General features: G+C 36.4%; 1 protein-coding gene across 3 annotated transcripts in view; it reads right to left on the reverse strand.

Moving 5' to 3' along the window:
• Positions 1-10,875: 10,875 nt before the first annotated feature.
• Positions 10,876-13,880, reverse strand: part of MAN1A1 (mannosidase alpha class 1A member 1) — a 173,401-nt gene continuing 170,396 nt past the window's right edge. For all 3 annotated transcript variants that reach the window (XM_005266986.5, NM_005907.4, XM_011535833.3), the window contains one exon: positions 10,876-13,616. In XM_005266986.5, coding sequence (XP_005267043.1) covers positions 13,490-13,616 — 127 coding nt within the window. In that variant the 3' untranslated portion in view covers positions 10,876-13,489. The remainder of the gene's footprint in view (positions 13,617-13,880) is intronic.

A 13,880-nucleotide genomic window follows, 5' to 3' on the forward strand; every position in this document is an offset into this window, starting at 1 on the left:
CATCTCAGGGAACTCTATTTTTCAGACTTCCTTGTCCTGTTTTCTTGATAGTCTTGACCAATGGGAGGCACTGGCAAAAGATTGGAAGGAAGGGGACCCCAGGATATGTCTTCTGTTCACTGTGCTTCTAGTGATGTCTCTGGCAATTGCTACATCTCCTTCATATTGTGCCTCCTATTGGACTACTGCTTCTCTCTGTCATCTCACTTTCTGCTGGGAAGCCCTCCATTGCATATCTATTAATAGTTCATGCTCTGCTTCCTATTTCTGGTCTGTGGTGACATCACCTCCACATTGTGTCTTTCCATCTCCTACCCCAGATAGAAGCATCCTGCTGTTGTTAATTTCAGTATTGTCATCAGAATTCATCATCCTTTGTGAGGCTTCTCAGCTCTCTCATCACAGGTATAACCAATTCCCTGTGTTAAATTTCTTCTTTTTGAGATAGAGTATTTTCTGTTTTCCTGGCTGATAACACCACTTGTAATGTCAAAGATAATGATTATGAAAGAACATGGGAGGCAGGACTAAACCAGGAAGAAGTCGAATCCCTGAATAGACCAATAACAAGTTCTGAAATTGAGGCAGTAATTAATAGCCTACCACCAAAAAATGCCCAAGACCAGACGAATTCGCAGCTGAATTCTACAAGAGGTACAAAGAAGAGCTGGTACCATTCTTTCTGAAAGTATTCCAAACAATTGAAAAGGAGGGACTCCTCTCTAATTCGTTTTATGAGGCCAGCATCATCCCAATACCAAAACCTGGCAGAGACACAACAAAAAAAGAAAATTTCAGGCCAATATGCCTGATGAACATGGATGTGAAAATCCTCAATAAAATACTGGCCAACCGAATCCAGCAGCACATCAAAAAGCTTATCCATCACGATCAGGTCAGTTTCATCCCTGGGATGCAAGGCTGGTTCAATATACACGAATTAATAAATGTAATCCATCACATAAACAGAACCAATGACAAAAACCACATGATTATTTCCATAGATGCAGAAAAAGCCTTTGATAAAATTCAACAGCCCTTCATGTTAAAAACTCTCAATAAACTAGGTATGGATGGAACAAATCTCAAAATAATAAGAGCTATTTATTATAAACCTGTAGCCAATATCATACTGAATGGGCAAAAGCTGGAAGCATTCCCTTTGAAAACCGGCACAAGACAAGGATGCCCTCTCTCACCACTCCTATTCAACATAGTATTAGAAGTTTTGACCAGAGCAATCAGGCAAGAGAAAGAAATAAAGGGAATTCAAATAGGAATAGAGGAAGTCAAATTGTCTCTGTTTGCAGATGACATGATTGTATATTTAGAAAACCCCATCATCTCAGCCCAAGTACTCCGTAAGCTGATAAGCAACTTCAGCAAAGTCTCAGGATACAAAATCAATGTGCAAAAATTACAGGCATTCCTATACATGAAGAATAGACAAGCAGAGAGCCAAATCATGAGTGAATTCTCATTCACAATTGCTACAAAGATAATTAAATACCTAGAAATACAACTTACAAGGGATGTTAAGGACTCTACAAGGAGAACTACAAACCACTGCTCAAGGAAATAAGAGAGGACACAAACAAATGGAAAAACATTCTATCCTCATGGATAGGAAGAATCAATATTGTGAAAATGGCCATACTGCTGAAAGTAATTTATAGATTCAATGCTATTCCCAAACTACCATTGACATTCTTCACAGAATTAGAAAAAACTACTTTAAATTTCATATGGAACCAAAAAGGAGCCCATAGAGCCAAGACAATCCTAAGCAAAAAGAACAAAGCAGGAGGCATCATGCTACCTGACTTCAAACTATACTACAAGGGTACAGTAACCATAACAGCATGGTACTAGTACCAAAACAGACATATAACAGCATGGTACTGGTACCAAAACATACATATAGACCAATGGAATAGAACAGAGGCCTCAGAAATAACACCACACATCTACAACCATCTGATCTTTGACAAACCTGACAAAAACAAGCAATGAGGAAGGGGTTCCCTACTTAATAAATGGTGCTGGGAAAACTGGCTAGCCATATGCAGAAAACTGAAACTTGACCCCTTTCTTACACCTTATACAAAAATTAACTCGAGATGGATTAAAGACTTAAATGTAAAACCCAAAACCATAAAGACCCTAGAAGAAAGCCTAGGTAATACCATTCAGGACATAGGCATGGGCAAATACTTCATGTGTAAAACACTAAAAGCAATGGTAACGAAAGCCAAAATTGACAAATGGGATCTAATTAAACTAAGGAGCTTCTTCACAGCAAAAGAAACTATCATCAGAGTGAACAGGCAACCTACAGAATGGGAGAAAATTTTTTGCAATCTACCCATCTTACAAAGGGCTAATATCCAGAATCTATAAGGAACTTAAACAAATTTACAAGAAAAAAAACCCATCAAAAATTGGGAAAAGGACATGAACAGACACTTCTCAAAAGAAGAAATTTATGTGGACAATAAACATGAAAAAAATCTCAACATCACCGATCGTCAGAAAAATGCCAATCTAAACCACAATGAGATACCATCTCACACTAGTCAGAATGGTGATTATTAAAAAGTCAAGAAATTGGCTGGGTGCAGCGGCTCATGCTTGTAATCCCACCACTTTGGGAGGTCAAGGAAGGTGGATCATCTGAGGTCAGGTGTTCGAGACCCACTTGGCCAACATGGTAAAACCTCGTCTCTACTAAAAGTACAAAAATTAGCCAGGAGTGGCGGCGGGTGCCTGTAATCCCAGCTACCCAGGAGGCGGAGGGAGGAGAATTGCTTGAACCCGAGAGATGGAGGTTGCAGTGAGCCGAGATTGTGCCACTGCACTCCAGCCTGGGTGACAAGAGCGAGACTCTGTCTCAAAAAACAAACAAACAAATGAACAAACACACACAAAAAAACAGTCAAGAAACAATAGATGCTGGCACGGCTGTGGAGAAATAGGAATGCTTTTATACTGTTGGTGGGAATGTAAATAAGTTCAACCATTGTCGAAGACAGTGTGGCAATTCCTCAAGGATCTAGAACCAGAAATACCATTTGACCCAGCAGTCCTATTACTGGGCATATACCCAAAGGAATATAAATCATACTATAAAGACACATGCACATATATGTTTACTACAGCACTACTTACAATAGCAAAGCCATGGAACCCACGCAAATGCCCATCAATGACAGACTGGATAAAGAAAATGTGGTACATATACACCACGGAATACTATGCAGCCATAAAAAGGATGAGTTCATGTCCTTTGCAGGGACATGGATGGAACTGGAAACCATCATCCTCAGCAAACTAACAGAGGAATAGAAAACCAAACACCACATGTTCTCACTAAGTGGGAATTGAACAATGAGAACACATGGACACAGGGATGGGAACATCACACACCAGGGCCTGTCAGGGGGTGGTGGGGTAAGAGGTGAGGGGAAGGAGGGCACTAGAACAAATACCTAATGCATGTGGGGCTTAAAATCTAGATAATGGGTTGATAGGTGCAGCAAACCACCATGGCACATGTATACCTATATAACAAGCCTGCATGTTCTGTACATGTATCCCGGAACTGAAAGTTAAAAAAAAAAAAAAAAAAAAAGAACACGGGAGGGATCCTCACCTTAATCTCTTCACTATATGCTGCCTGCTTCTCAGGGTTCTATCTAGGTATATTGGTATATTCTTAACCATCAGAGTCACAGAAAAAGGAAGGGGGTTTTTCTGACCCCATTTGAGATGTGGGGTCCATCAATAGTTTAGCCAGTGGTCTCAAGGGAGTTTCTCCTGTGTACCGGGGGAGTCACCAAGTGACCTCTGCCCAGTGGAGTATTAATTCTTGGATATCTACTTGGAATTACTTGGAGTAGTAATTCTTGGAGTAGTAGTTCTTGAATATCCATCTCAGGAGGAGAAATACAATTTCATTGCCAAGTGGATTATTTTCCTACTTCCAACTTTTTATAGAAATATTGCAGGCAAAAATGTAACATATATTTGTAGGATGGGAGAGGAGTAGCAATGTCTCATTTTTCCCTTTACACCTTTTACCCTAATGTAGAATAAAACATTTATTTTAGAGAGTATTTAAGATTCGTTTTAAGCAGAATATCCTCTACAGTTAATCAATAGATAAAGAATCTTTAGAAGTCTTTGCCTGGACGTGCTGAAACTTCTATTTAAAGAATGAGCTGTGTACGTGAGCCAAGAATGCTTTTTTGGTTTGGCAGTCTTTATCTAATCTTTGGGAGAGGTTAAAAGCGCAGATACACAATGTGGAAATTTTGAAACTTCCCCTTAATGCAATCATCATTGTTTGAAGAGGACCAAAAAGAAGAAAGCAATCTATCGTATATTTTTTAAAGCAGCAAAATAAATTCAAGAGCTTGTTAAAATTCTTTTTAATTGTGGCTTTGACATACTATATGGTTTTTTTAAAATCTAGTGTTTAAAGAAATCCTGTATATTGGTTTATAATGGTGACAAAAGTCACTTTCAGATTTTCAGGGACTGATTAATCTCTCTGAGATCCTTTGTTTTTCTCCCTCTCTGTTCTTTGATCATTATGTCAGCACCTCCTCTGGAGGTAGAGATAAGAAGATAAGGTGGATGATGGCGAAATCGTAATCAATCATTTCGTTTCTGTTAGAATGGTTGAAGAAAAGTCAGCTTGGAACAACAAAGTGAACTTATTTGAAAAAAATGTAGCAATACAATTATTAATGGATTTGCTTTAGCCCTAGAATCCTTGGTCCTATTACTAGAGAGGATTACAGAAAGGTTGCAGTCACTACAGAGAAGTTCTTTATTATTTACATCACTCACAGTGCTCTTCAAGTGTTCCATTGAACAGAAGAAGCCAGCCCTGGATGTGTGGGCATGCCAATTTAGGCATCGATAATGGCTCAAACAAACAAACAAACAAACAAACAAAAACATCCCCTGACTCCCCTACCCTCAAACCAAAAACAAACAAGACAAACTCTAGCGGAATTGAGAATATCTGATATGTCTGTTGATCTCAAGGATAGTGAATAGTTCACAAGCAATGACAAGGAAAGAATATAGCTTGGACTCTTGTGGGTTTTCCCTAAGACAGTTGGTATATTTTGAACATACTAAAATATGAGAAAACCATCCTACTTTTGGTAAGTTTGTTTTGAAATTGTAGTGATGCAATTTTTCTAATGGCAGCTTATACTTAGGTGTCTCACAGTTAAGGTAAACACCAGATTTTTCACTAAAAATAGAATCTGTATTCAACTTTGTAGATAGAAGTATCACTTTGAGTTAGTAGGGCTTAGCAGGGCTGTGTTCTGTTGCAGGCAAACTTAAGATGAAAATCGTGGATGTTTTTGAACAGGAGTTTGAGACTCACTTTTTCTTCATTTCTTAACAATTTGTTCACTCTTCACCAAATGTTCACTGAGTGCCTCCTATGTGAAGAATGGAAGGGTAAACTTGGGTTGAAAACAAATGTGTTCCAGATGCTATATCAAATCCAGTATTTATATTAGCAAATAAGCCATGATGCCCTCCTTTTTAAATTTTAAAAATTCTATTTTTTGCATACTTGCCTTTTTTCCTAGTCAAGACTTGCAAGAAGCAAGTCTAATTTGCTTACTGCTAAATTCCCCAGGACCTATGACAGTATCTGAAATATTCTGGTTACTTAAGAAATATTTGTGGAATGAATGAATGAATGAAAACCAGTAATGACAATATAGTGTGACACATGAATAGGAGTTTGCACAAAGTCCTTTGGAGTCCCATAAGAAGCAAGAACAAATTGGAATGAGAAGCAGACTGGTCACAGACATATAAATTGAGACTCAAAAGGAGGAATAGACATTTTCCAAGAAGTGGAAGGAGGTAGACCAGGAAGGCCTTTTCAGGGATAATACAGAAAAGTGAAGGCCAGCAGGAGTGAGGCATATGGGGGGAAGGAAGTGGACTATGGGTACTTTGTTCAACAGTGTTAGCCTCTCTTCAGAAGCTAACAGCCTTATTCTTGTGTGGGGAGTGCCAGAAGAAAAGGTAAGTGTTAGTTGCATATAATTTACATCTCCACTGCTACAGAAACCAAGAGCTTTTTTTGTTTGTTTGTTTTGTTTTTGTTGGGGGGGAATAGGTAAGTAGACTCTCAATCAAAATCACCTTTACATTTTTCTTTGAAAGTGATCAGTTTTAAGTCACTGTAAGTAATTTTCAAACATATAAGCTGATTTTGGAAGCAATGCTGGTTCTTTCAGAAGAGTTATTTCAGTAAGCCTTCCTAGTTCATAAAATTGATTTTGTTGGTTTCCAAAGCTACTGTGGGTTGAAAATAAAACTGACTTTCAATCTAGAAGGAGTTCTTAGCTGTTGTAGACACTGTCTTATTTTCATTGGATTGTTTGAATACACAAATAACACAATTGATAATAGTGCAACAACCATGCAGCTTGATCCCCATTTCTTCTACAAATGCTAAAAAAACCCCACAAACCAAAAAATAAAACTCTATTGGCTCGCTAACAAAAAAATAAGTGGAAAAATGTCCAATTAGTTCATGATGCAGGTGTGAAGAAAAAGAGCTGGCTATTTCTGTCTTCTCATGTCAGAAAAGAGCTGAACTTTGACCTTAGAAGATGAGTAATAACATGTGTTTGAAGCAGTCTGATTGAAGGAAGGCATCCAAAAAAGCCTAGGGTTATTGGAAACGGCAAGTAAAATAATAACAAATGTGTTGTCATAACAAAACAAGCTGGAGGCTTCCCAAGGTAGAGGAAAGATGATTATTTTATAGAATGCAAAAGCTGAAAGAAGGGGCTGGAACTCATGGATTGAAGGCATGAGCTAAGACCTTTTACATATATTAGTTTTTTAATTCTCTGGAAAGTAGATATGATCCCTCCCATTTTATGGATGAGAACACTAAGGTTTTGATGTCTTATAATTTGGGTGTGGTGGTCTCTAGTCTATGCATGGAAATATTCTAGGCATGTGTACTGCTGTTTCTTGCTCAGGTATCCACAAGAGATGTCATGCAATGCACAGCCTAGCTGTTAGGCCTGGGCTGATCACTCCTCTTATTTTACAGATTAAGGAAAGGGAGATGTGAAGAGTAAGTGCTTGTTCCAAATCACGCAGGGAGTTAATGACACCAGCTAAGGTTAGGAACCCTTGTCTGGATTCTTAGTGAGGTCAGCTTCCCATTGGTCCACTGCACCTACTTTCTACCCCTTCTGTATACTGCGTCGTATACAGAAAAGAGACTTAGGCTTAATGTATTTTAATGGGGGCATTAAAAATATATTTTTGCAACTCCCTGCCATGATTATATAAGTCACAAAGTTATCAATTTGACAAAAGCAAGATAGAGACGGAATGTGGATAGCTGAGAGGCACTTAGGGTTTATTTAACCAGTGAGGTTTATTTAACCAGTGAAGTGCAGTATTGAAAGGCAGAGTGGTAAAGAGGTTTTGCACAGGAAGGAAGAGATTTAGTTTGCTTCTCCTTCAGTCACTTATTAAATAGAGAGCCTTGGGTCATAACAAGCCAAAGCTGTCACATACATGAAAGGGAACCAATAGCATCGTGCCTCCCTCAAGAAGTTGTAATGGAACCTCCCATCCTGGTTCAGCGAGGTGATTGTGTTTCTATTTTCCACAGAGAATGCCAAGAGTTGGAAAGTCAGGAATAAAGTTCCCAAAGATTTTGTGAATGGGAATCATTCATTTGTTTCTCCTAGGAGAGTTAAACAAAACAAAACAAAACAAAAATCTCTCAGGTGCCAATGATTTTGGAAAATACTGTTTGAAAAGCAGTACATTTTATGACCCTGTTTGCAGAATTGTGAATTAGTAAGTGCTTGTAGCCTAAGGCCAAAATATCCCAGTATGTGTAAAAGTTTTTAGAAACTATACATCTATCACTGTTTTCTAACGTTTCACGGTAATTTGCATTCACTGGGGAATTAAATGGATCTGTGATACACATTTAATTTATTCTGTCGGTAATGGCATGTTTTAAGGGGACTCAAAGTAATCATAATAATGGCAAGCCAACAAATCTTTGACAATTAGCATAGCAATGAATGTAAAAACGCGGGCGGGGGAAATGAAGGTATTTTTCAGAGGTCATTTCCAAGAACGTTTTATACATTTACATGATATATAGCCAAACTAGAAATTCCGTGTAGTCTGTGCAAGTGACACTCATGTTAAAATCAACAAGAACAGTAGAAACAATTTGAAAAATGACTTAAAAATGCAGTTATTGGGAAAAGAAAGCCAATGAAACAATTGCTGAATAAAAACAAGCATGATTGTAGTTAATACTTTTGAGATTCCCCTAATAAGAAAGAATTATGTATAAGAATCTAGTGTAAATCTGTTTCTAAAAGATTTAGGTGTATGGCTTATTGCAGACTAATGCTTTTGTAGAAAAGGAAGAATCTGTGTTTTCAAAGTGACCAAAGTTATGTCAAATTGTACTTAAACCTTGAGGTAGAGACAAAAATGCAGGAAAAGGTACATATTCTTGTCATGATTCGCTAATTAACTCATTAATTGTTCTGATAGTCTTGGAATTTCCATTTACCTAGAACTTAAAATTGTTGTTTTCAACTTTAGTGTGTGTAGGAATAACACAAAGGGCTAAACATGGGTATTCCAGGACCCCATCGCAATTTTGATTTGTTAAATTTGGGGGAAGGCTTTGAAATCTGCATTTTAACAAACCTTAGCTGAGATTCAGATTAGGTAAACTGTAGCCCACATCTGGAGAAAGAAACACAGCAGTAGACCAATTCCTAAGGGTGAACTCTGAAATTATACCTTTATTTTGGAGTGGCTGGTTGGAAATAACATATGCTCTCATATATGGCCTTTTTTTTTTTTTTTGAGGTGGAGTCTGGCTCTGTCGCTCAGGCTGGAGTGCAGTAGTGCGTTCTTGGCTCACTGCAACCTCTGCCTCCCGAGTTCAAGTGATTGTTTTGTCTCAGCCTCCCAAGTAACTGGGATTACAGGCATGCGCCACCATGCCCGGCTAATTTTTTTGTATTTTTAGGATTAGCATGAAATCTTACCATATTCCTGTGTCTGGCAGCACAGAGGAAGGATAGAAAAACAGTTCCTGTTGCTGGGAAAATCCCCATTTCCTCATATTTAAAATGAGAGTTGGACTAAATGCTGTCTACATTCCCCTGTAATTCCAATACTTTAAATATGTATCTGATGCCTGGCAAATATTTCTTGAAAACTGTGACTCATGTATTGGCTAGTGTGGAGGATGGAATGAGCCTGGAAAAAATAGAAAGGAGGCTTCAGGCCATAAAATCAGTTAAAAAGTTTCCTAAGACTCCCCTTCCTGCCCTCACTCTTCAGTCACAAGGTAGGGAGCCTCGAATGGCAATTATATATGAACTCTATGTTCAAATGAAAAAGATTTTATCTTGTTAACTTTGAAAAACTTTTCAAGCAACCATCTACATATCATTATCAGTCATTAGATGTATTTGTTGCCAAGCTGCCATCTCTGTGTTGATGGCTGATAGTATACATAAACACCATGCTTAGAATAAATTTTAATAATTCTGTAACCAACAACATGAACACAACCAACATCAATTTGTGCTACCATAATTTAATTCAGAAGGTTCCCATTTGACTCTGTTAGGTAATAAGCTAATTTCTTTGGTGCTGTTGTAATCGTTTTTTGTTTTTTGTTTAACATATGTGGCAGGGACTGTGACATTAAGTCACATAAAACAATAATGGGCTGTTGAATACTGAAAACTATTGGAGGAGTCATGCCTTACTTTATTTTACATGATGTAAGTGGATTAAAAATAACCTGTTGATTGAGAGTTGATTCTAGTCACAAACATGTACTTTAATATTTTTTTTAAAAGTGTATTGCTCAGTGAAAGACATTTGCAAATAGTTGTAGCAAAGACTATGAATATAAGATCGAGTTTCCTAATTCATGCACTTTCTCACTCAATTGTGAACTATACTCTTGGCACTAGACAGAGAAATGGGGGAAAATGCCAGTTGAAGTTTCTTTTCTCATGGGGTTTCATACTAAGGGGTTAGAAAGACATAAATAAGGAAATAAATATGTAATACAGCAAATGCTAAGCAGAAAATAAAATAGGGTAGGGGACAAAAGGTGGAGAGAATTTTACACTGATTTGTCAAAGAAGCCATTCTAATGAGGTGACAATTGTGCAGAGACCTGATAAAGAATGAGCTATAAAAATATTAGGGAAAGCAAGTTCCAGGCAGTGGCAACAGCAACCAAAATATCTGAAATATTCTAAAAAGTACAGTACGAATTTGAAGAACTTAGAACCTGGGCTTTTTGAAAAATTTCGGAGGATCTTCTATAGCATAAGTTCTCCTTTTTCTATTAAGCCTCTTTGACCACTCAAACGCTATGGACCTCCTGTTCCCATGAACTTATATAGAATTTTAGCTTGTAATTTAACACAACTAAATGCTATTTTTGTCTTGTTTTGAGGGGTGGTGTGGGGTTAATCTCATTTTCTTAGCTGCATTGCAAATTTATGAACAAAGAACATAGTTTGTGCTATTTCTGACATCAAAGCTTCTAGCCTCTGTGTCCTGGTGTTGAACATATGTTAGATCGTTAATAAAGGTTATTTGATTACCCAAACACTGTATATGCAAAATTATGTGCAATGTAAAGTTTCTTAATGGGAAATATTTCCTTGTCAAGACCCTACAGGTGTGGTATGGAAATGCTGTTAGGATCAAATATTTTTATTTGCAACTGAAGGCACTCACCCCTTAGATATACAAAAGCCTACTAAAAAGGAGAAAAATATAACAAATGAGGAGATATATTAAAAGACTTTATTCACAATAGAGAAATTTTACAAATATAATTTTTAAAAATTATGTGTCAATCTATTGTTTCCCATAACATTGGAGATTTATATATAAAGTTGAAAATGACAGAATGGATTTATGTAAAAATAAAAAACAATCAATGTACACAATGTGTAGCTCATATGAAAACCTCATGACAAGTCATTGAGTTCTGTAAACTGCCATACAACTTACATGTGTAATATTAATTGCACAAAGTATATCAAGACATATTGAAGAAACACAAAATTAAGTGCTATTTTAACGGTTCATCTTTCAGTATGTGAATACGTATACAAATTTAACTGCACAGTTTTGTTGAAAATAAGTTTCAACAATAAGACTTCAGTTGTTAAAATTAACCCAAAATATAACTTTAATTAAATTACATCACTACAATATTAATCTCTTATCTTGTTTACATTTTTGGTGTTTTGGGACTTTTGTTAAAAAAAAATCCAAGTTCTAGAATTGCAAAAACTTCATTGTTGCCACTGAGAGAGCAACATATAGTACAGCTTCTTGTCTATTCACACCAGGACACCAAGGTACCTCATAGTGCAGTGTGTACACACAACCTGATTTTAATATTCTATCTGCTGCAGAAATACTTATCAGCTTTCAAATCAAAGTGAAAAGAAAATGAGTTAATTTAAATGGCAAATTCAAGGACATTTATACAAACATTATATTCTTAATTTTGGCAATAATTTTTAATATTTTGCCTTAAAGTCCTGGGAACAAAGGGCTCTTGCTATCCATTCATTTCATTAGGTGAACTGAAGATATGAGTGGGAGAAGTTATTCTGGATCACAGACACACATTAGCATGGAAATAATGATGTACGGAAGAGTCTTTTTCATTTACTAATTTTACTAATTTATTCTTTGACATACACCAATGTATGATATTGAAAAACAGAAAGCAGGTCATAAAGATGGTCCTGTCCGATAAAGGAAATCTTTTAAAACACTTTCAAAAGCTAAAATAACTAAAACTATTAAGCCTATTGATAGCTAAGAAAATAATTGTCTTCAATAATATTAGGTGGAACCATATGAAACTGCTGACAGTTTTTAAACTACAAATGCAGCAATTTCATATGTTTCAGCCTAATCCATGGGGTTGTACTGATCTTTCTGACCATTCTCGGCTGAAAATTGACATGGTCAAAGTCCTTGCCCTTCAGTATATGCATCGTATTAGCCCTTTCATGGAAGTATATCTACATAAATATATATGTATATATAGTGGGCCAATGTAAGCAAACACAAGGTATCACACCAAATCTATTCTTGAGAAAACCATTCCTATTTCAAACTTAATGTTTAAAAGAATCATATATTGATTTTGATTTACTCCAGGACTGTGGGGGATGGGGAGTGGCCATTTCTTTATATTTCTTCTAAGTTGTGATCTCTGTGTTGACTATAACCATACTAAATATGCTATATTCTTATTTGGCCTAAAATTTATTAGATTTTCCTTGATTGATCACGAATAAGTAAAATTGGCAAAGCTTCTTTCAGAGTCAAATCCTGCTTTCACAAACTGAAAGGAAATAATTTACTACATCTGAGATAGAGCCTTTTTCAAATCTGAGAAATCTGAACCAAATAGAATGCTTTATTTTCCAAAGAAAAAAATCAAGATGAAATACAAACAAGTGAACTAAAAGCCATATGAAATACCCTCTCTTTAGACAGACCCAATTTCTTCATATATTCAGTTAAACCCAAAAGCTAATCCATTAAGTTGTACTATTTTCTTCAGATAAATGTAATTCAGTGATAGCAGAGCTCTGCAAAATTTGAAAGCTCACCTCTCTGTGTAGTGGGGAATGGAAGAAATTAACTAGTATATAATCCAGAAATGACACAGGGCATTTAAAGTAAAATTAAAGGACACATTTACAAAATAGAAAACACTAATATAATTAACCAACAAAAATATACTGCAGTTCCGATGAAATGAGGTCAACATGACATGATCCTTTTGGAATGACTTTCTAATTTGAATTACAATGTGAGTGAAGTATTTTAGAAGACATTCTATCAAATAATGATAGACCTGCATAAGGAGGCTGTCACAGAAGATCTGTCTCTGGTGGACAGACAAACCAGATTAACATGAAATTGTAAAGGAAAAAGCTTTTTTATACTTATTATTATGGCTTTTTGCAACATGGCAAAACATTACAGCTTAAAGCAGACATCATCTCCTCTTAGAGGAGGAAAAAGTTTTGCAGTCAAATCAAATTATAATTAAGAGGTCATCGCTATACAATTCTATTCAGTTTAACAAAAACGATATTACACCTTCATGAAATCCAGAGATAATAGGTTACTTAAAAACATAAACAAAAAACTGGTGGATACACTGGCTGAATTAATAAAGGATATGATAAGGAATTTAGGTCCACCTATACCTATGATAATAAACATAAAAGACTGCAAAACAATTTAAGAACTTAATCACAGACCTACTAATCAAAGTTCATCATGTGCCTGATTACCAGAAAAGGAATTATTAAGGTATACAGTGAAGGGAATGGAGCAGAATAAAATATAAAATGTCTTTTTATTCCTCTCTGATTTCAACTTCCTTTTTATCTTTAGGGAGGATAGGGAGAAGATGTGCCTCGCTATTGAAGATCCAATGCTCCAGTGGAAGAAGATCGTCGTCAGAAAATATTAGGTACAAATATCTGGTGAGAGAAACATAAGTATATGAGGCCCAAGACACTAGGCAGGCAGTGAAACCACAAACACACAGCAAAAACCACATCAATGTCTGCATTCATCTTACCAAGAAACATGGACAAGAGTCAAATATATCAAAACCCTGAGGGGTTATACTCATTAACATGGGGTAAAGCAGCTACTCAGTGCTTTGGTGTTAGCAGTACCAAGTCACTGAACCTAGTTATTGAGAATATACCTGCAATTATAGCCATGCCTGATATTCTGAA

The sequence above is a fragment of the Homo sapiens genome, chromosome 6 (assembly GCF_000001405.40).
Source record: "Homo sapiens chromosome 6, GRCh38.p14 Primary Assembly".
Taxonomy (NCBI): Eukaryota; Metazoa; Chordata; class Mammalia; order Primates; family Hominidae; genus Homo; species Homo sapiens.